The sequence below is a fragment of the Homo sapiens genome, chromosome 6 (assembly GCF_000001405.40).
Source record: "Homo sapiens chromosome 6, GRCh38.p14 Primary Assembly".
NCBI classification, from domain to species: Eukaryota; Metazoa; Chordata; class Mammalia; order Primates; family Hominidae; genus Homo; species Homo sapiens.
Window position 1 is genome coordinate 25782175 of NC_000006.12, and position 22047 is coordinate 25804221.

General features: G+C 37.4%; 1 protein-coding gene across 7 annotated transcripts in view; it reads right to left on the reverse strand.

The window, feature by feature from the left end:
* Window positions 1-22047, reverse strand: part of SLC17A1 (solute carrier family 17 member 1) — a 108310-nt gene that overhangs the window by 58432 nt on the left and 27831 nt on the right. For 4 of the 7 annotated variants that reach the window (XM_011514821.3, XM_011514819.3, XM_011514820.3 and 1 more), the window contains 2 exons: window positions 18716-18806; window positions 15964-16745 (listed from right to left, as the gene is read on the reverse strand). In XM_011514821.3, coding sequence (XP_011513123.1) covers window positions 16611-16745; window positions 18716-18806 — 226 coding nt within the window. In that variant the 3' untranslated portion in view covers window positions 15964-16610. Of the gene's footprint in view, window positions 1-740; window positions 1045-15963; window positions 16746-18715; window positions 18807-22047 lie in introns of those variants that run through there. The other 3 variants (NM_005074.5, XM_017011201.3, XM_011514818.3) reach the window with 3 other exon arrangements.

Below are 22047 nucleotides of genomic sequence, written 5' to 3' on the forward strand. Positions count from 1 at the left end.
TCTTATTTTTATATCTTTCTTCCTACTTGGAAGGGAGGCAGTAAGTGGAGAAAGAAAAAGGTCTGAAGTGCTCTTGTCAGACCAGAGGAGAGAGGCCCTGCAGGTTGCCTGGCAGGGCTATCGCCACACTGTTCCTCAGCTGCTTCATTTATGACAGTTTCCTCTACATAGTCTGAAGACAAGCTCTTAAAGTTCAGGAACCATGACATACATTATTTTGTAGCATCTTTAACACAAAGAACAACAGTATCATATACAGTAAGTGCCAGTAAATGCTATTGAATCGCAGTATGAATCAATGAATGAACAGCTCCAGAGTGGTGGGAGAACAGTTAGGGGAGAAATGGATAGGAAGGAAAAGGACCAGATTTTTCTTTAATTGTATTTGTTTTCTGAGCATCGAGTCATCTAAACCTATGTATTATCTTTTTTCATCTGGAATTAAGATGTTAGAGACTGGGTCTGCTCCGTATCATTTCTCCAACAGTCACCAAGCCAACCCTAGCCTCTCCCTGGATCCTGTTCTTTCTTTCTTATCTGTCACTTTTAGTTATTTCTGAAAATGAGTTACATTTCTCCCTGGGCCCACCAGCGAGGGAGCTGACTTGTGCTGTTTCCTTTAAAATGGGCCATCCTTAAATTATGGAAATCTCCTAAAATTTTGCACTAGCTCACACATCTACAATGAGAAAGAATAAAAGTTAAAAATTGTGGAAAAAGTCTTTCATGAAGCCTTAGAATAAAATTTTATCTTGTGTGTATTTATTGGTTTGACAATCATTTATAAAGCAACTGATGCAGAGAGGAAGACTGAGATAAATCACCACCCCCATTTAAAATTCAGATATATTACATGTTACAAACAACACATGTTAAAAAACGATGCACACAGGATATGTGGGAGGGTAAAACTGGCCCCTAGGACTCCTCCTACCACCTTCTTCCTGGTGCTGGTGACTGCCCCTCAGCCTCAGCCTCATGTGCTGGTCCCTCTTCCCTTCAATAAGGAGGTTGTCCCAGGCTCTGCAAGTGCTCTGTTTCACACTAAGTTTTGTAAACAAAGAAAAAAATAGTGCACACAAATGTCATTTGTGAGTCCTTGTACACAGAGGACATAAGAAAGCTTTTCAACATTTCAAAAAGATGGTCTCGTGTATTATATTTTTCTCAAGTTGTCTTCCTTGCCTCAGTGATAGGTGATCCTAAACATTTTTTTACACTTCTCTCCTCTGGACATAAAAATAAATATGGCTGTCTGTGCAAGTTTATTATCCTTCCTTTTCCCTATTTTCAAAAATCTTTATGTAAAAGATCCAAACAACTCCAACATTTTGCTAGGTCCAGGTACATGGTATGAAACCATCCATCAGTTGCTCTATATCTATGTTGTATCCTGAAAACAAAACAAATCCAAACAAAGCAAAAAAACACAGTGCACACCAGTGGGGTTTGACACTCAAGTTTGATACTGCCACTCTCCCTAATAAGAATATATTTTATCCACAGCGATAATAAGACATACCTTTTGTACTGTTACCAAATTCCCATTCTTTGTAAACCAACTTGTTATTAAGAAAATGAAAATAAAGCCCCCCTTTGTGGTCCTGCACCCACCACACACTCTTTTTTTTTTTTTTGGACCCTACCCAAAAGTGTCACTAGTCCTTTCAAAGAACAATTGCTGTCATCTGTGTTAACTGGGATAGTGGTCTCTGGCAAGTTGGGCTGAAACTGGGCTTTACCTGGTTAATAGGTGTCCAGATTAGCTCCTCTGATGTCATATTCTCCAAAACCTGAAAAGGGGGAGTGGCCAAGGTTCTAAACTGGGTGTCAATCCAGGGGCCTATCTGGAGTAACAATGAGGAAGGCACACACTATCTTTCCTTTGTATTGAAAATTTTTTCTTCCTTTTTGTATTTGAAGTTTTATTAGTTATTAAAACATGGCGTCCATACAAATAGACATTTTCTGGGTTTTCCAGTGGAAACAGCTGCTTACATTGCCTAATAACTGTCTAAACATGCTGCAGATGTTTCCACATGTTAGCTGAACATATGTATTCTCTTCACATAGGCAATCATGATACATCTTATCCTAGGGAGACAATATGTGTTGCTATAAAGGAATATCTGAGTCTGGGTAATTTATAAAGAAAAGAGGTTTATTTTGGCTTATGGTTCTGCAGGCTGTACAAGAAGCATGATGCCAGCATCTGCTTCTGGTGAGGGTCTCAGGAATCTTCCAATCATGGCAGAAGGTGAAAGGGGAGCCAGTGCATCACATGGTGAGAGCAGGGGCAATAGAGAGAGAGATGGGAGGTACCACACACTGTTATACAACCATATTCTCTCCTGAACTCAGAGTGAGAACTCACTCATTATCCAAAGGACAGCACCAAGCTGTCATGAGGGATCTGCCCCCATGACCTAAACACCTCGTACTACGCCCCACTTTTAACACTAGGAATTACATTTCAACATGAGATTTGGATGAGACAAACATCCAAACCATACCTTACAGATATTGTTCAGGATGTCATAAAAAGCCATATGGCTTTTAGAGTCATACGGCTCTGAAACAGTTCAGGTTACATAAAAGTTAAAGCCTCAAGAGAGTGTAGATGAAGAAAGGCTTTGTAAGAATTTTAAAATATGTGTTTTCTCTCTAAGATCACGAACAAGACAAAGATGTCTACTCTAGCCACTTCTGCTCAACATTATACTAGGGGTTCTATACAGGGCAATTAGGCAAGGGAAATAAATAAAAGGAAACTAGATTGGAAAAACAGAAGTAAAACTATATCTTACAAATGATATAATCTTGCTTACAGAAATCCTAGGAAATCTACTAAAAATATTAGAACTAATGAGTTTAGCAAAGCTGCAGGACACAAGATCAATATACAAAAGTCAATTATATTTCTATACACTTGCAATGAGCCATCCAAAAATGAAACTAAGAAAACAATTCAATTTCAAGTAGCATAAAAAATAATAAAATACTTATAAATAAGTTTAACAAAAAGAGTACAAACTTATATTCGAAAACTTCAAAATATTGTAGAAAGAAATTAAAGAAGCTGTCTTAGCTAAGGCTGCTATAACAAAATACTATTACCTCACACTATTTTTAAAAACCATCTCAAAATGAATCAAAGACCTAAATGTAAGAGCTAAAACAATACAACTCTTAGAAGAAAACTTAGGGGTACATCTTCATGACCTTTGACTTGGCATTGATTACTTCTATATGACAACAAAGCCACAAGCAATAAAAGAAAAAATAGATAAATTAGACTTCATAAAAATCAAAAACTTTGCTTCAAACTTTGCATCAAAGGACATTAACAAGAAAGTAAAAAAAGACAACCTATAAAACGGGAGAAACAATTTGCAAATCACATATCTGATTCTTATCAGTCTAGTATTTAGAATATCCAATACACTCTTATAACCCAACATCAAAAGACAAATAATTAAAATGTGGGCAAACACACTGAATATATATATTTCTGTAAAAAAACAGAAGAATAGCCAATAAGCACATGAGAAGATGTTCAACATAATTACTTATTAGAGAAAAGCAAATCAAAACCATAATGAGATGCCACTTCACATTCACTGAGATGGCTACTGAAAAAAAAAGAAACATAACAAGTGTTGATGAGGATATGGAGAATTGGAATTCTACATTGCTGGTGAGAATGTAAAATAGTCTGATGCTGTGGAGAAGAGTTTGGCAGTCCCTCAAAACGTTAAACCTAGAATTACCACATGACCAGCAACTCCACTTGTAGGTATATACCCCACAAAATTGAAACATATCTTCACATAAAAACTTGTACACACAAATGCACATAGTGGTCTATTCACAGCAGCCAAAAGGTGTAAACAACTCAAATGCTCCTCAGTGGATTAATGTATAAACAAAATGTAGCATAGCCATACAGTCGAATACTACTGGGCCACAAAAAAAGAAGGAAGTATTGCTACGTGCTACGACATGAGTGAACTTTGAAAACATGTCAAGTGAAACAGGTCAGTCACAGACATATTATGTAATTTCATTTACATGAAATGTACAGAATAGGCAAATCAATATAGACAAATTATATCAATGGTTGCTTAGAGCCTAGTCTGTGTTTGGGTGGGCCCATGGGTCAGCTGTTGGCTTTCCTGAGGAATCTGGGAGTGAGGGGCTCTGATTTTCCACCCGAGGAACAAGGCAGAAAGACACTGACCACTGCATTTGAAGTGGACAAGACCTCTCCATTTTGTTGGACCAGAGGCTACATGCGTGTTTCCCATGGATTAGATGCAGGTCACAGAGGACTGATAGCCAGGCCCAAGGGACCACCTAGAAGGGAGAAGGGATATCCACAAAGGGAGATTTGTGTGGAGTGGATCTGTGATGCCAAGGAGATGGGCAGCTGGAAAAACCAAGTGCATTTCCTGCCTTGTCAGCCTCTTATGCATGAAGAAAAGGGTCTGCTTTCAACACCTACTGGCCCAGGGAGCATGTGGGCAACTGACAATGGGGCCAAACAAGCCAGAAATTTCCATGCCTGCTTCCCCTCCTTTCTCTCCTGGTCACACCTCAGGAGGGGTCAGAGGTGGGGTCAGCATCCTAGCGGATGAGGAGAAAAGCCAGACAGAAGAAAGTGCTCACACCCCTCTCCCTGAAGGAGAAGGTCCGCCTGCAGCTTTGTCCCAGCTGGAGACACAGGGAAGGAGTCTTGTATGTGTATGACATTTGACTAGCTAAATTCCATATTTAAATAAATATTTTCAGTTATCTAACTGGGAATGTATGCTTGCTATTTAAAGTGACCACAGTACTTTTTACTACCTAAGAGGGCTTAACAAGGAAATAAATAAATAAATAAATAAATAAATAAATAAGAGTGTGGGGTATAGTGGGGGTGGGATAACCTAGATTTAAAATTCTTTCTTCACTGAGCAGGTTTGAAGGGAAAAGGTAAACCCTTTGCATCCTCACTTAATTTTCTGAATTTGTTCAAAAGTTATTGGAGGCCAGGTGCAGTGGCTCACATCTGAAATTCCAGCACTTTAGGAGGCCAAGGTGGACGCATCACTTGAGCCCAGGAGTCAAGACCAGCCTGGGAAACATAGCTAAACCCCATCTCTACTTTAAAAAAAAAAAAAGTTATTGGGATAGGGTAGGGAAATAATAAGCAAGGTAGGCTGCCTCACTGCAGGGCCAGATTAAGAACAATGATGCCCTAAACGCAGACCAACCATGTTGCCACCTTGAAACCATCCCTATAAACTTTACAAAATTAATCAGAGAAGAAGGGAGGGGGAGAAATGAAAATAACCAAGCTTGCAGCACATCCAGCACTAATCATGAAGTCAGCTTATTCTCTCCTGCTTTCTCATAGTTGTTTGTTGCCTGCTGCCTCAAAATCACGTAGACCTTGTCAAAAGATTACAGTTTCCCTTAGCTGCTCTGCAGATAACAACTTAAGCATTGTGAAACGTTAAGTTTTCTATTTGAGTTATTCTTTCAGGTCCTGCCTATCTGTGAAACTACTGTGTCAGTTGGTCTACAGGACCCCACAGTGAGCTGGCTCACCAAAGAATACATCCTGATGGCTTCATCCCCCTTACCCTGACCACTCAGTAACCTCAGTTTTCTAGCCCTTGCCCTCCAAGACTCCCTTAAAAATCCCAGCACAAGAGTCCTTGGGGGAAAAGGAGTTTCCTCTGGAAATGGAGATCCCTCTGAGGATTCGCCCAGTCTTCTTGCTTGGTCACCCTGTATTCATTAAATTCTTTCTCTGCTGCAAAACCTATGTGCTGAGTGCATTAGTTTGTTACTGAGTAGTGGGAATATGAATCTGGTGGTTCTGTAACACCCTTGGCCCTTCCATTTCTTAACATAAAGAGCTTAAGTGTTCCTTAAACAAATCAGCTGACGAGTTAAATGCTAGCCAGACACAGCCAGCTTTCAGGGAGGCAAAAACCCTCAGAGCATGAGACAGAAACAAATGTTATATCTGATATCACCTTCAAATCAAACTTTTAAACTTTAGTCACTCACCATGCCAAAGAGCACATTTGAAAAAATTTTAGATTAAATCTAAACAGCAAATAAAGACAATTACAAAAAATGTTACTAACATCATATGACCAGTGAAAGACTTAAGGGCATGACAGCTGGGGGAAAGCTCTGTGGTGCCCTCTTTTCTTGGTGCCCTAAACACAAGCTTATTTTGCTTAATGGCTAACCTGGGGATGCTCCAGCAGGACACGGTGTGGGGAGCCACAGTGGCCCAGTGAGAGGTGTTAGAGCCTGTGCAGGGCGAGGATTGTGTTCATGCAGGAGGACAGCCTGGCATAGGATGCTGAAGCCTGACCAGGTGCAGAGGGTGTCTGAGCTGGGTGACAGCCTCGCCCACTGAAGTGGGTTGAGGAAAGCTTCTAGGCAAAGTTGTGCAACTTAGCAAAGATGTCCGTGTCCAAGAGATGAGGAAGGTCCAGGAGGTGTGGCCTGTGTCAGGGAATCAGAGCATGGGCAGGAAAGGAGAGCATCCACAAGGGGGCATCAGAGTGAGGGGTGTAGGCCTGGGAAAAGAATGAGAAGGATGTCTGGAAATGGGATGATGGTGGCACACAAGGGGATTGACAAAGTAAATACAAACATTAATCCTAATAGGAGCTCACTGCTGGAAAAGAAAGTTAAAAATATGGAAAAGTAGAAAACTTGAAGAAACTTTGTATTGGACTGGAATGGATGGAAGTACTGGTGTAAATTCATGGATATGAATAGAAAGATAGGTAGGTAGGTAGGTAGGTAGGTAGATAGATATGTATGTATACACATATAGTCCCTAACTTTGTCTACCTAGCAAACCTGAGGGCAGAGGCCCCAGAAGCCATGAACACATCTACCACTGAGATCTTGGTTTCTAAATACAATTCTCAAACATTAAGAGGAACCAGAGCTTATTAGAGTGAGGACTGATTTCAGGGCTTGGTCAGGGAAAAACTCAAGATGACTCTGGAATTTTGTTTTGTGCCACAAAGTAAGAAAGTGCTCAAAGAATGATGAAGAACCTCCAACTGGCCAAAATTGAGACAAATTGAGCATCAAAGTAAACAAAAATAGTAATATATTATAAATCACTAAATAAAACAAAATTATGAGCTTTACTAAAATAAATAAGTGAATAAATTGAAAGTCTGATGTAGGATGAAATATTTACATAGTTCCAAAGTATGTAAATATTTACATAGTTCCAAAGTATGTAAATATTTACATAGTTCCAAATTAACAAACTACCTGTTGATTTCAATGGGAGAAGGAGTAACTTTGCAGAGGCAAAACCTGATAGGCCCCACCTTAATCAAATGAAGAGCCAGAAATGGTACATATCAGCATCATATGACTCCGGTATAATGACCTGAGAAGAACACAGGGACATCTTTGTGGTATCCCTAACCTGAATTTAATCATGTGAAAACATCAAAGAAACCCACACTGGGGAACTTCTACAAAATAACTAGCCTGCACTCTCTAATCATGTCATCAAAGTCAAGGAAAGACTAAGAACAATTCTAGAGTTAAAGAAACTAAAGAGACATGGCAACTAAATGCAACATGAAATTCTGAAGTGAATCTTTTGGCCGAAAAGAATATCACTGATACAATTGATGAAATGTGAATGAGGTCCCAGAATTACATGGTAGAAATGTATCAGCATTAGTTACCTGATGTTGACGGTTGTTTTGTGGTTAAGTAGAAAAATGTCCTTGTTTGCAGGATACCCTAAAGTGTGTGAGTGGTGTGGAGATGATGGTGAGGGCATCATGCTAGCAACTTACCCTCAAATGGTTAAGGAAAAAAAGCTCTTTGTACTACTCTTAAAAACTTTCCTGTACCTTGAGATTTTTTTCAAGTTAAACAAATAGGGAAGGTAGGAGATAAAAAATAGAATTGCATTTTGATTACATCCCTTAAGTCATCTTTGTTCAACTCAATGGTTATAATGTTAACAATACTCCATCCGGGTATTTGGTAAACATCTGATTTAATACCCCAATAGATTAATGAAGCCCAGATCCATGGGTCTGGAAGACGGTGGAGAAGCTCTTACCCCTATTTATGTTCCGTCCACAACATTATTCACTCGAAGAATTCAGTCCCAGGAAAGTTTTGCTTCCCTCAAAGCAATGTTGTTGATATATTTTTATTAGACAAAGAGCTTCTATTTTATTTTTTAATTGCATTTTCTATTTTATTTTTGATACTAAGAAGTTCAGAACTAAATATGATGCTCCATTGCCCCTTCAAACTAATCCCAAGTTCCTTGTAATATTAACTTTCTTTGATCTAAAAAGTTTTAATATCAGGAATGGAAGTCTGATTTTAATATTAAAAGTATATTTTATTAATAAATCACAACAAAGAAAAATATGCAATCATCTGAATAGAAGCTACAAACACATTTAACAAAACTCAATTTCTATTCTTGGTTTTTGATTTTCAATCTAAAAAAGAACAAAAAGACAATTCATTGACATAATTAAATGCCTATTTTAAATTAACAGCCAATTTATTGTTTAAGAATATGCCTAGAGGCTGTGCAATTAAAGCCATAAAGAATAAAGGAATCCCAATATTAGCCCATTATTATTGTTATTATTTGCAAATGATGAGGATCATCTACCCGAAAACACAAGAATCTATTATTCAAAACGAAACCAACAAGATAGCTTAGCAATAGTTTTTTCAGTTAAAAAATTAAATATATTCAAATGATATCTTTCCAATATTCCTGAAAATACAATGAATAAAAATCAGATTCAGAAAATATAAGATAACAACCTTAAGTTTTGTAAGAAATGCATAGGAAATGCAGGAAGCAAACTAATACTTGACTGAGGAAAACCTGAAGCCAAGTTCAGCAATGGAAGTCTTATCATGTTCTTATATCAGTATTATTGAGTACTATTGATATTGAATATTGACATTGAGTACTGTTATAACTACCAATTTCTCCCCATTGGATTTATTGCAATTCAGTGCAACTCTAAAAACACTGCTACAGGTCTTTTTAAATAAGGTCCACTGATTATAAACTTTCCTGGAAGAATAAACAGCTGATACTAGAAAATAATATTTTCAAAAGTGAAAATGATGTTTTTTTTGACCTGCCTGATATTTACAAATATTAAAATTTAGACCACTGAATATGTTGTAAAATAGGTCTAGTAATAGATATTAAACTAAAACTAAATATTAAGCCCAGAAATAGACATAAATATACAGAGATTCCTTTTACTAAAAGTTGGTATTTTAAGTCAGAGAGGAAAACGCAAATTATTTTTTAAAAAACAATGGTGGTAAAATTCAAACACTAGGAAAATGAACCCAAATCTTCACTTAAGCCATGCAATAAACGTCTACAGATGAACAAAAGACTATGAATTGTCTAGAAGGAAACACTCTTCTTTCTCTCCTTTTTGGCTCTGCGTGAGCTCACACCTTCTGGATGACTCCAAAGCTGCTGAATGCTTTAAGTGGTTAACACAGAAAATTTTAAAGGCCTACAGGAGGTTAAAATACTATCACAGTCCTGAAATTCTTTCCTGCCCATTGCCCATGTGGCTGTGACGATGTCTGAAGGAGAAATAGGCCTGTGAAGTGACCGAGTCCATTTGCAGGTGCAAAGGTGGCGGGAACATTTCCTACTACTTACGTGGCTTCATTCTCTGTCTCTGCCTTCAAGGAATAGAGCTGTAGAGTCCATTTCTCTTTACAGACCCAAACACATTCACCTAAATCTATTTACATAGTGAACAAATGTGAATCCTTCAAGCCAATTCTTCAAGATGGATCCCAGGTGGCTAACTGGGCCTAAGTTTAAAATAGAGCCAAGAAGCAATTTTCTGACCAGGTAGGAGTCACACACATACTCTCAGTTCCCTGAAAATCTGCATCCTTTTATATTTGGGACTTCCAGCATTCACCTGAACCAACCAATCAGAGCTCAGCAGCCTCAGTCAATCAATCAGGGTTCAGCTGTATTGACCAACCAGAACTCATTTTTGCCAGCCAATGAGAAATCAACTACACTCACCAATCACAACTAAACGTGTTTCCATTTTTTATTTACATAAATGAACCTGATTAAAAACCTAGGTGGGGCTTCACACGGTGGCTCACGCCTGTAATCCCAGCACTTTGGTAGGCCAAGGCAGGCGAATCACTTGAGGTTAGGAGTTCCAGACCAGTCTACAAGTCTTCCACATATTTGGGCTATACATTTGACTCCCTTTAAAATTGTTCTAGCCTGTTTTAACAACTGTCTGCAAAAGACCCCCATCAGGATCATGCTGACCCAACATCCTTCATTTGCATAAAGGAACTGAATGAGGACCTGAGCAGGAACCTTTGCTATAAAACCAGAGCCTTCCTTTTGATCTCTGAAACGTTTCAATTTAATGTGGACAAAATCCTACCCCATCCTCCTCCTTGTCAAGCTTTCCAATCTCGTAATAAACACTCTTTAGTTGCTAAAGCCAAAATCTAGGTCCTATCCTTGTTTCTTCTCTTTCTGCATAGTTCACAATCTCCCTGCCTTGTCTGGCCTGCTGTACCTCCAGAACTCATCTGAATCTGGCTGCTTCTCACCCTCTCCCCTGCCTACATCCTAGTCTGCACTGCCAACATCTCTCACTTGAACCTCTGAAACAGCATCTGTCCTGGTCTCCCTGCCTCTACTCTTGTTTTCCTAAAGTCCTTCCTCTAGAAGGTGGCAAAAATGATCTTTATAAATCATTGATCAGGAAAGTCACTCTTCTCGAAAGTATCCAATGGATTTGATTATAGACAGAATTGGATGCAAACCAAGCTTTTGCCATGACCTGGAAGCACTACATTAATCACTTAACCTTAACCACTTACACAGTTTATCTCTCTTTACTTATGAGATTGAACCACCCTGCCCTTCATTCTCCCTCTTAGGAATACTGAGCTCACTCCCATCCCAGATTACTTTCCTTGGTTATTTTTTATGCTTGGAATACTCTTTCCCAGAGTATGTAAATTCACAGACCCTAGATTAAGAATCCCTGCTTTCTGATATTCATTCAGACAGTAAAGAAATACATTTAAGCACTTTTATAGGTGCTGGGATAGAACAGTGAGAGCTGGGTGCAAGTGAGAACAAATTTTGCCCAGTAGGTGACATTTGTGTTGAGACTTCAGTGATGAGAAAGAGAGGCACATTATTTTTTATCCTCGGAATACTCACTGACCTCCAGCAAAAACAGCCCTCTTGAACATGCTCCATCGTGTTACCCTATTTCATGTTCTTTTTAGTATATCGGTGCCTGGAATTATCCTGTTTAAATATAGCTATTTGTTTCCCCCTATCAAAATGTGAAGCTCTTTTAGGCACTGAAGTCCTGATGATGTTGCTCACTGCTCTATCCCAGCACCTACAAAAGTGCTTAAATATGTTTATTTACTGTCTGAATGAATATTAGATAGCAGGGATTCTTAATCCAGGGTCTGTGAATTTACATAGAAAAAAATTACATCTTTATTCCTTAACATCTGACTAAAATTTAACATTTCCTTCCATTATGAATGTAGGTAATACATCATAGCAGTGGTAGTACTGAGGACTTAGATATCAATAAAAATCACAGGTATTTTCCTATGACATTACAATTGTGAACTATGAAAGAACAAATCCTTCAAGTTGGATGCTGATTGGCTAACTGGGCTTAAAATCAAAATAGAGCCAAGCAGTCATTTGCGACTGGAGGTCACACACGCACTTTGAGTTTCCATAAAACCCACACACCTTCTTAATTTTGGGAAGTTCATAGCTGCTTGTTCCTGTTTATGTGCCTGAACCAACAAATAGACTGCAGCCTGAGTTGACCAATCAAAATTCAGCAAGTGTCAACCTCTCAGAACTAAGCAAATCTGAATCATGCATTTGCATAAGTGGACCTGAGTGGGAACCTGGGAGGGAACTTTCTCTATAAACAGTGAACTCTCCTTTTGCTCTTTAGACTGCACCTTAAATCTGCCTCTCCTTAGTTCACAAACTGTTCACTAGGATAGCCTCTTTCCTATAAATTTCTCTTCAGAGAACTTTTATTCAGACTAAAGCATTAATAAAAATCATGTTATCATAAACATACTTTTTAGTATCTTGATAACTATTTCAACATAATCAGTCTCCTTTAGAATCCTCTGCATTATATTCTGAGTTGTGGTTCATTACACAAGAGATTGAGAAGCCCCACTGTAAAGGAACTACCACAAGCACAATGCATGCCCCTTATTCAGCTATTGTCCCTAGGATCCACTGAAATAAATTTAAAGAAGCAAAAATAGAACATTACAAAACCTAGAGAACTACCTCATACCCAAATCAACAAGGACTATTTACTATAATAAGTTCAAAACACTGAGGGCCAAAATAAAGGGTGACATTGGACATCAACTCACAGCTGTCTACTAAACTCATGAACCCGGTACATTCGAAGGGAAGAGAGGTGGAAAAAGCAGTTCCAGGGCTGCGAAGCAACTTCTTCCTGGGTGAGGCTGGGTAGGAGGCAGGGCATCTGGGAAACAATGGACTTTTGCAATCCTGGTATGCCAGGCATATTGGCAATGGCTTCTAGGCTACAGGAGAAACGCAAGGCCATGATTCTGCCTTTTCTTATTTTCTTCTAACTTCTAAAATTACAAGGCAAAGTTGTAAGGTAACCCGCTTTGCAGCAGTGTGTCAGTTTGAGAGTGACAGGTAAAATACTGCTGATTCCACAAATAAAATGCCTGTGTGCTGCTGAATGGCTGACAGCCCTGAGGATACAGGTTGTTGAAGAAACAACCATCAGCACAGCAACACAAACAGCAAGGCCCAGAATACCTCCTGCACTATGGCACTATCCATACTGGTGTTCCCAGAGCCCCTCTGCCACTTAGCCTAATATCTAAAATGAGAATTTAAAACCTCCACTGCCAGCCTGATGGAAAGATGCCAAGGGCAACCAGGTAAACAAAGGAGAATGGAGGAAATTCTACCCACATCATCTTTGGGGAATTACAGGTTTACGTAGAATTAGCCTGAACTAAAGAAAAATAATTAGAAACATTGAATGTGATTGATATTTTGGAAGGAGAAAAAAAGCAGAAAAAGAATATAGCATGTAAATAGAAAAAATGAACACATTTTCAAAGAAGAGTTAGAGAGCATAAGCACAATCAAAATTTAAAATATTCTACAAATCTAAATTGCTAGAGTCAGGCAAGGAGGCAGGAGGAGGAGAAGGACCAAAAAGATAAGGAGGATTTTTTTTAAGGGAATAGAAAATAAGATGCTAGAAAATGAAGTATATTTTTAATGACAATAACTGCAGTTGGATTGAAGTCATCTATATAAAGGAGACGGCTCTCAAAGTGGGTGAAATAATTGAACCCAGCTATATGCCCTCTGCAAGAAAAACATTAAATAAAATGGCTCAGTAAGGTGGAATTTAAAGGCAATGCAAAAGTATTCCAGGGAATCTAAAATAAGCACACACCCACACCCACACCCACAATTTAAGGTTGTCATATCAATATCAGAAAGTAAATTAAAAGTAAAAATTATGGAATGGGAAGGATTCATAAGTTTATAAAGTCAAAAGTAAATTTCAAATTAAGATATACTTGTCAAAGTCTTTTTGAAATTGTAACATCAGAATATAGTATTCAATAGTAAATGCCAAAGCAGACATAAAAAGAAAAATGGATAGAAATAATAATGGAAAACTTTGGTATAACTTTCAATATTTAACAGGTCAAATATATACAAAACAAATAAGATTTATGGAATCTGAATAAAGTAAAGTGATTGTTCTCATAGCTGTGCCCCACTCTGTGCCTTGGAAATAGAGGATAAACCTTCGCTAATGTCTATGGGATATTTTCTAGTGCTGTTATATGCTTATTTATAAGGACAATCTCAGATATTTCTACATTAAAATATTCAGATAAGCTTTTGTATTTTTAAACTGCTGGTTATATTCCACTCACTTAAACAAAATGTATTAACTAAGGCTGTATTGACAAACATGCTTAATTCCATATCCAGATTTTTGCCATTTCTAAATCAACAATCTTGAGTTATGCTTGCATCTTGGCAAATTTTTGTGAGTACACCATTATGGGAATTTTTAGTACTTGCAATACTAGATCGATTTAATACCGACTCAATTTCATTTTTGAGTGACGCTATCAATTTTCCTCCTTTAGCTGGGTGTAGTGTTGCATGCCTATAGTCCCAGCTACCCAGGAGGCTGAGGCACGAGGATTACTTGAGCCCAGGGGATTGAGACTGCAGTAAGTTATGATTGTGCTACTGTACTCCAGCCTGGGCAACAGAGTGAGATCCTATTTTTTAAAAAAATTTTTCTTCAAACTTCATTTGGATCATTTCTTCCAATAAATTTGTTAACTGGCTATTTTTGTTTAAGGTGACAAATTTATTTATTAATAAATTTTCCAGGAAACTTACTGAATTAATTATTGTTTGTATAGTTTTCCAGTCAACCCACTTGGATTTTCTAAGTAGACAACCATATCATCTGCTCATAATGATAATTTTACCTTCTTTACCAATATGTATTTTCTTCATTTCCTTGTCTCTCAGCCCCTCTCTCTTAACTGAGAACCTCATTGCTTATCGCACAGATGAGATGCCAACCTATATACTAACCCATCACATATACAACACTGCCTTCTCTCTGCCACTGTGGATAAGCTCTAGGTTTCTACCCAAGGCCAACCCTGGCTGTGGTGCTTGAATTTCATCCCTTCCAGATGAGTCAAGTACTTTTTAATTCTGTCATTGTGCCTTATCTCCTACATTGTGGAACCTCATTATTGAATTATACCATCACCTTATATGCTATTGCATGTATCTTCTGAAACAAACAAAAAACAAACAAACAAAACCCTCCTTGGTTTTACATCCCTTTACAGCTACCACACCATTTCTCTAATTTGCTTTATAGGAATGCCTATCCTGGCTGTCTCAGTTTCCTCAGCCTGTATTCTCTCTCTCTTGATTTCTCTTTTCATACTATAAAATAAAACACAGAGACACAGAAAATTGCACAAATATTTGGCTCAATGAATTATTATAGGATAAATGTTTGTAATCACTAGCCTGGACATGAAAAATAGAATATTGCCAGGATTCCCAAAGTTCTTCAAATGGTCACTCCCTGCCCCTAAAAGTAACAACTTCTTTGACATTTATAATAATAATCTATTTTTCTGTATTTCTTTATAGACTTATCACCCACATGTATACCTTTATAGTGTTTCATTTTGCCAATATTTAAAAATCTGTTATGTCATTTAAGTTCTTTCTAATCTAGAGCATCCATTTCTACCCCAGTTTTTTTTTTTTGAGATGGAGTCTTGCTCTGTCACCCAGGCTAAAGTGCAGTGATCTCGGCTCAATGCAACCTCTGCCTCCTGAGTTCAAGAGATTCTCCTGCCTCAGCCTCCTAAATAACTGGGATTACAGGTGCCCACCACCGCGCCTGGCTAATTTTTGTATGTTTAGTAGAGCCGGGGTTTCACCATCTTGGCCAGGCTGGTCTTGAACTCCTGACCTCATGATCCACCCGCCTCGTCCTCCCTATTTTTCTTTATAAGTAATTTATTTATTAAAGACCCTGAGCCTTTTGACCTATAAAATCTCCTACAGTTTAGATTTGCTAATGATACACTTGGATTTTGTCGAACATATTCTCTGTTTTCTGTACTTCTTCCAAAGCGGTAGCTGTATCCAAGGTTTGATGAGATTCAGTTTGATTTTCTTAGCAAGATATTAGTGGTGGTGTGTTGTTTCATCAGAAGGTATACAATGTCTTCATGCCTCTCTTTTTGTGATACTAATGATCATTGATATTCAACACCTGGATCTCTTAATTTATTGAGGGTTGCAAAATAAGGACATTCTGCATCTTTCAATTCTTATTTATGTATTAGCCAAAATTATTCTACAAAGAGACATTTCTCCTCCAATTCATTTACCACTGATAGAGTTTACATAAGCAAAGCACAGTATTATACCTTGAACACACCTTAAAGGACTCTTTGTCTCCATCATTCATTTGAAAATCATTTTAGTCAGGGTTACCTTTAAAGTTTCTCTTGCCTAAACCATTGTAAATTCTTAGACCTTATATAATGTAATGTCTTGATATTATAGCACTTGCCAAAGGTCCTTGCTCCCAACCTTTTTCACTTCGAGTCTCCATTTTACAACTGTTCTTCCTACTTCGTTGAAGGCCCTTCCCAGTCTTTTTTGCAAACTTCTCTTTTTCATCCTCATCTTTTGATGTTAAAGAGGCCCAGCCTCCCAAATTTATATCTCCAGCCTTAGCATCCCCACAGAGTCCCACAGCCATTTCAGGATGTCTAATATTCTCAGGCTTAACATGGTCTCCTCTTCTCCAAACCTGCACCCGTTATTCCTTCTCGTCTGAGGAGTCATCCTTATCTCCTCTGTCTCCTGCATTCCCAGTTTCAAAAATTGTCCTTAATCTGATCACTTCTCACCTTCAGAGACGTGTGTGTTGTTTTTCTTTAGCCCAGTCCTGAATTTCTGCTGTAGCAACTATAAGGTAGAAAATTAGGCCAGTCACATTAATGGCTGCCATCAGGATGAAGGTTTTAAACCAGGCGGATTCCGGATCCTAAGGAATTAAAATTCAAAGTAATTGTAAATTATTGCTCTTGTTTTTTTGTTTTGTAATGTTTAAAATGTAATATTAAAAATGTAGACTCAAGTCACGTAACAAATATGGAAAAACATACTTATACATAGCCGAAAACGTCATCATTTTACTTTATAAAATAATCACTTTTATCTTTCTACTATATACATGTTGTTTAAAATTCTATTTTCATCAGATATTAAGTTTACTAGTTTCTTATAGTTCATAATTAACTGATTTTTTTAATCTGATCTATTATTTTGAAGTTTTCTGCATCTTTTCAAGGTATCTTATGTAGCTGACATATTATTGTATCCTGTAAGCTTATATAGATAAAGAGTGTCTTCATATTTTAATTGGCAAATTTAACATACTTTCATCTATTGTAACTATTATTTTGTTAAGATTTATTACTCCCATATTATTTCATATTTTCCATTGCAATCCTTTTTTTTTTAAGTTTTGGATTCGTTTTGAAGAGAATGAGTTTTCTTCTGCTGGTTTATAGAAGTTAACTATATTACTCATTAAACATTGTTCTTCAGATGTATGCTCGAGTTGAAATAGCTATCAGAGGAGAACCAGAAAAGTTATTGCAGCTGCAATAATTGACTTCCCAGGCTTGACTTCTGGTCACCAAATATTTGATTTACTCAAATTTCAAATGCTCAGAAGAGTATTCAGTTTTTCTCTCCTTTTAAAGCTGAGGCAGGGGCAGATGAGAACTGTCTAAGTTAACTTATAGGCAGAGACAATTTTGGACAGTTCTGGAACCACATTTCCTTCCACATCTTGGATGTTTGCAGAGAAACTAGCTCCACTAACAACTTTTGGAAGTCAGCTCTGCACACCTGAGTGAACTCAATGGAAGAATAAAGGCACTATGCTCAGAGGGAGGAAACAGACCATGGCCACCTGGTGCTTCCCATTTCTAATGAGGCCATTTCTCTGACCAGGGAGCTTCTGTGGTTCTAGTGATGTTTTCTTCTTTTCTGAAACCATAAATACAGAGATTGTGGTGGTGGAAGACTCCTCTTTATGGGAAATGTGGCCATGGTGGATGCAGACCATCTCTCCCTGTCCCAACTTTGGGATAAGGAGCATTTGGAGGAATTATCTACACACTACCATTCCTTTGGTTGTAAGTGTTCCTACAAATAAAGTTTATATGTGATCCACATGGTGCTAGTGGTATGAAGGTGTAGTCCTTTGTGAGTACAGATTTATGCCAGCATTTCCATTCTGACTCTTCTTATTTGAGTGGCTTTAGGATGTTATCTCTTATCTTCTGCTTGTTCATTATAACTGAAGACATAGATTACCCAGGATAGGCAAAGACCCAAGGCAGCCAGTGTCTTCAATGGTCATTTACCTCTCTGGAATCAGGCTATTCTTTCATTTTTAATCTCTGAAATGTTCTTTTGCTTTACTTTTTTTGCAGATGAGGCATGCATTTAAAATAACTGTTAAAATTTGATAGGGCATTTTCAGTGTCCTTAAAAGGAAGATTTCAGGTAACTTTGTCCATGACATGTGCAAAAACAGAAGTCTGCCTTCATAGTCAGACTTAGATCAGTCTTTATTCACTTGTGATTTTTCATTCTTTTTTTGAGAAAACTGTATCTTGTTACTTATATTACCACTCAGCCAGTCAAATACCTGTGTTGATCAATCCACATATTCATTATCAAAAATAACAGAAGTCCACTTCTGTACCAATGGGCAATTACTAAAGAGTTCTCAACATATCTAATTGACAAATAATGAGATAGAAATTGCATTATTTGTAGATTTGGAGAGATGCCTGATTTGACCAAATTTATTTTCATATGATGCAAAAACTCATAAGTCATCTCCTTCTGGCATCTTCTCTGCAATTTTTCATATGTGTAATCTTTCTCTATACAATTAATATTGGAAAAATAACTACACATCTGTATGTTTCTTACCTGCTTAAGGATCAATCCAGTCAAAGTGGAAGCAATTAGTCCTCCTATCATTCCAGTTAAAGTTGAACATGCTTTAATAAATCCAAAATATCTATGCATAAAAGAGTAATACACAAATGTAAAGTAGTACAAATACTGCAGGAAATGCAAACCTAATCAAATGAAATTTAAGAGAGATAATTGCTCATTTTGCAAGTTCCTGCTTCTCAAATTCCATTAAGATGTTAGAAAAAGTATATGAATATAGGCAACTTTCTAGTGTCACCACAGAGTCAGAAAGGTTGGCGTTAGCAGTAAAGAATATGATGATATTAATAAAATGGGATTATATTTAGAGTGAAACCCAGTAGAATTAGAAAATATGTAAGTTCCATTGAGAAATTCAGAAGGTGATATGTTTTGGTAATGGGAACTGGTTTGGGGTTAATAAAAAATTGAAGGGCTTTGTTCACCTGGTTTACTCCCATAGGTCCAGAGCTACTGACCTCCAAAATTGCTTCCAATACTCAGGCAAGGAAATCAGAAGCCTAGTTTACAAGCAACTATAATTGGCCAATCCTGGAAGCTCAAACCAATTCCAGCAGAAAATTAGCTACAAACGCAGTGAAGCTGCAGCGAACGATAGATAAAGGGGTCAAACCCATCAGCCATGAAGAGCAAGGTGGTGCTGTTTGGAGAGCAGAATCAGTGTCTAATCAAGAAATGAGTTCACTCCAGGGCTGGGAGTCCGTTTTTCCTGCCCTGTAGATTTCATCATTAAAGTTCAGTGTGTTCAAGTCCTCCCTTTTATGAGAGGCAGAGTTCAGAGTTTCTTGTTTCTTTTTTTCTGATCTTCTTATTTCCCTAGTCTTTCCCATTCCTACTCTGCCTTTACATGTTGAGTATGGGAGGAGGTGCCTGTTTTGTTTATTAATTTGTGGGTCCCTGTTCATAGAGGAGTCACATCAAGACCTAGAGTCCTTGAACGTTAAGCTATATGCAGTCATTGGGTAGGATTAGAGTTGTCTCTTTTTGACGATCTAGGGAGTGTGTTGTAATGGATGAAGAAGTACATTTATGGTTATGAACATCCACAGGTAGAGCTTGGAATGGAAACTATTAATTGTCCCCACTATTTGTTGTTCTGTTTTTCATTTCAGCAATAGAACCCCTGGAGTTTAGGTGGGAATTGGGACCACTCATGACTTTTGTGAGCCCTTTCCACTTTTGCTTTCATGAACCTCTTCCCCCATAAAAATATTAAAAATTATATTTTATGACTGCTCTGGCATAAAGGCAAATACATTAACATTATACATTAAATCATTTTCTTCCACCTACGAGTTTGTTTTTTATCTTCCAATTTGGAAAAGATTTTCATGAGTTCCTAAAAATATTGTAGGCCATAGGTACCATATCTTCTGTACAACTGGTAGAAATATGATTATTAAATTATTAGTGCATTTTAATTTACATATATTCTATATCACATAGGGTATTATTGTTTTCATTTTGCAAATTCAATTATATTAGATTTGCCCTAATATTTTTCCTCTCCATTTCTCTTCTTTTGTTCCTATATTTCTGTGATTATTTATATGAAATTATTATTCTGTGATTATTTATCTGTAATTATTTCATTTCTGCCTGAAGAATTCTCATTTAGTAATCCTTTCATTGGAGGTCTATGGCTGCTGAATTCTCTCAGTTTGCCTCGAAATGTTATTTTAACTTAGTTCTTCAAGGAAAGTTTTTGCTGGATATAGACTTCTAGGTTAACAGTAATTTTCCTTTTTGCATTTTAGAGATATCAATTGATTGGCTCTGGCTTTCATTGTTTCTGTTAAGAAGGCAGATGTCAATTCTATTATTGCTTTTTTGGAAGTAATGAGCCTTTTCTAGGTGGCTGTTTTAAAGATTTTGTTCTCTCTCAGTCTCTCTCTCTCTTTCTGTCACCTCCTCCCATTCAATTTTAGCAGTTTCACTAGATAGGTTTAGGTGTGATTTTCTTTGTATTTATCCTATTATTTATTATTTATTTATGACGTTTTAACGACTATCTTCTTCTTTTTTTTTTTTTTTTTTTTTTTTTTTTTGAGACGCAGCCTTGCTCTGTCGCCCAGGCTGGAGTGCAGTGGCCCCATCTCGGCTCACTGCAAGCTCCACCTCCCAGGTTCACGCCATTCTCCTGCCTCAGCCTTCCGAGTAGCTGGGACTACAGGCGCCCACCACCATGCCCAGCTAATTTTTTGTATTTTTAGTAGAGACGGGGTTTCACTGTATTAGCCAGGATGGTCTGACCTCATGATCCGCCTGCCTCAACCTCCCAAAGTGCTGGGATTACAGGCGTGAGCCACCACGCCCGGCCCCGCAGGCATTTTTAAGATAGGTCTTGAACTGAATAAATCAAATAAATACATGTCCTCATTTCTCTAGCACTGAGTTTGTGTAGATCTAGTGGGCAAGCTTCTTTATAAAATTGTAAGAAAGTGAGTTATTCTTGGTTGATTTTGCCTGTCTACCCCAAGGCCACTGCTCTACAAAACTTCAGAAAATTCTGTTCATATTGGATTTATGTTCTCCAGAGAGTACTAACCCCACAAGGTACAATGTGAACAGTGTTCCCTGAGAGTTGAAAATGACAGAGCTACTTCTGTTAGTCACACTTATTATATCTCTAGAGGAGATATAATATCTTGAAAATAACATCTTGAAAAGAGCAAGTTTTTTGCCAAACAGGTCTGGATTAAAATCCTAGGTAAAATTTCAGACCAGTGGTGAGATTTTGAGCTCAAAATTAAGTATCTGAACCTCAGTTTCTTTAGTTGTAAGGTAAATATGATTAACTGGTAGGTTGTTATGAGAATTAATAATATATGAATATGGACATAATAGCAATAATTATGGAGCAGCTAACCCTTACACAGTGCTTGCCAGAGTATGCCAGGTACTATTCTATATACTTGACCTACATTAACTTATTCAATTATCTTAATTACTCTATGAGTAAACGTTCTCTTATTAATCCATTTTATGTGTGAAAAAAATCATCAGAGAGAAGGTAAATAATTTGTTTGATATAAATGGCTGTGCTGATATTGAAATTCAACTGTCTAACTCTAGAATCTGTGCTTCTAATCATAAGGATATACTTTTCACATACGTATATGACAGATGCATACATCTGAATATATCGTTAATGATTAATATCATTAATGATTAACATATCATTAATTAATGATTATATCTGACTTATATAGATATTTCTTCAGAACTTTTGGCCTGGTGGCTATGAACAACAATGTAGCTTAACTATCCAGAATTCTCAGCAGAAACCTTACAAGCCAGAAGGG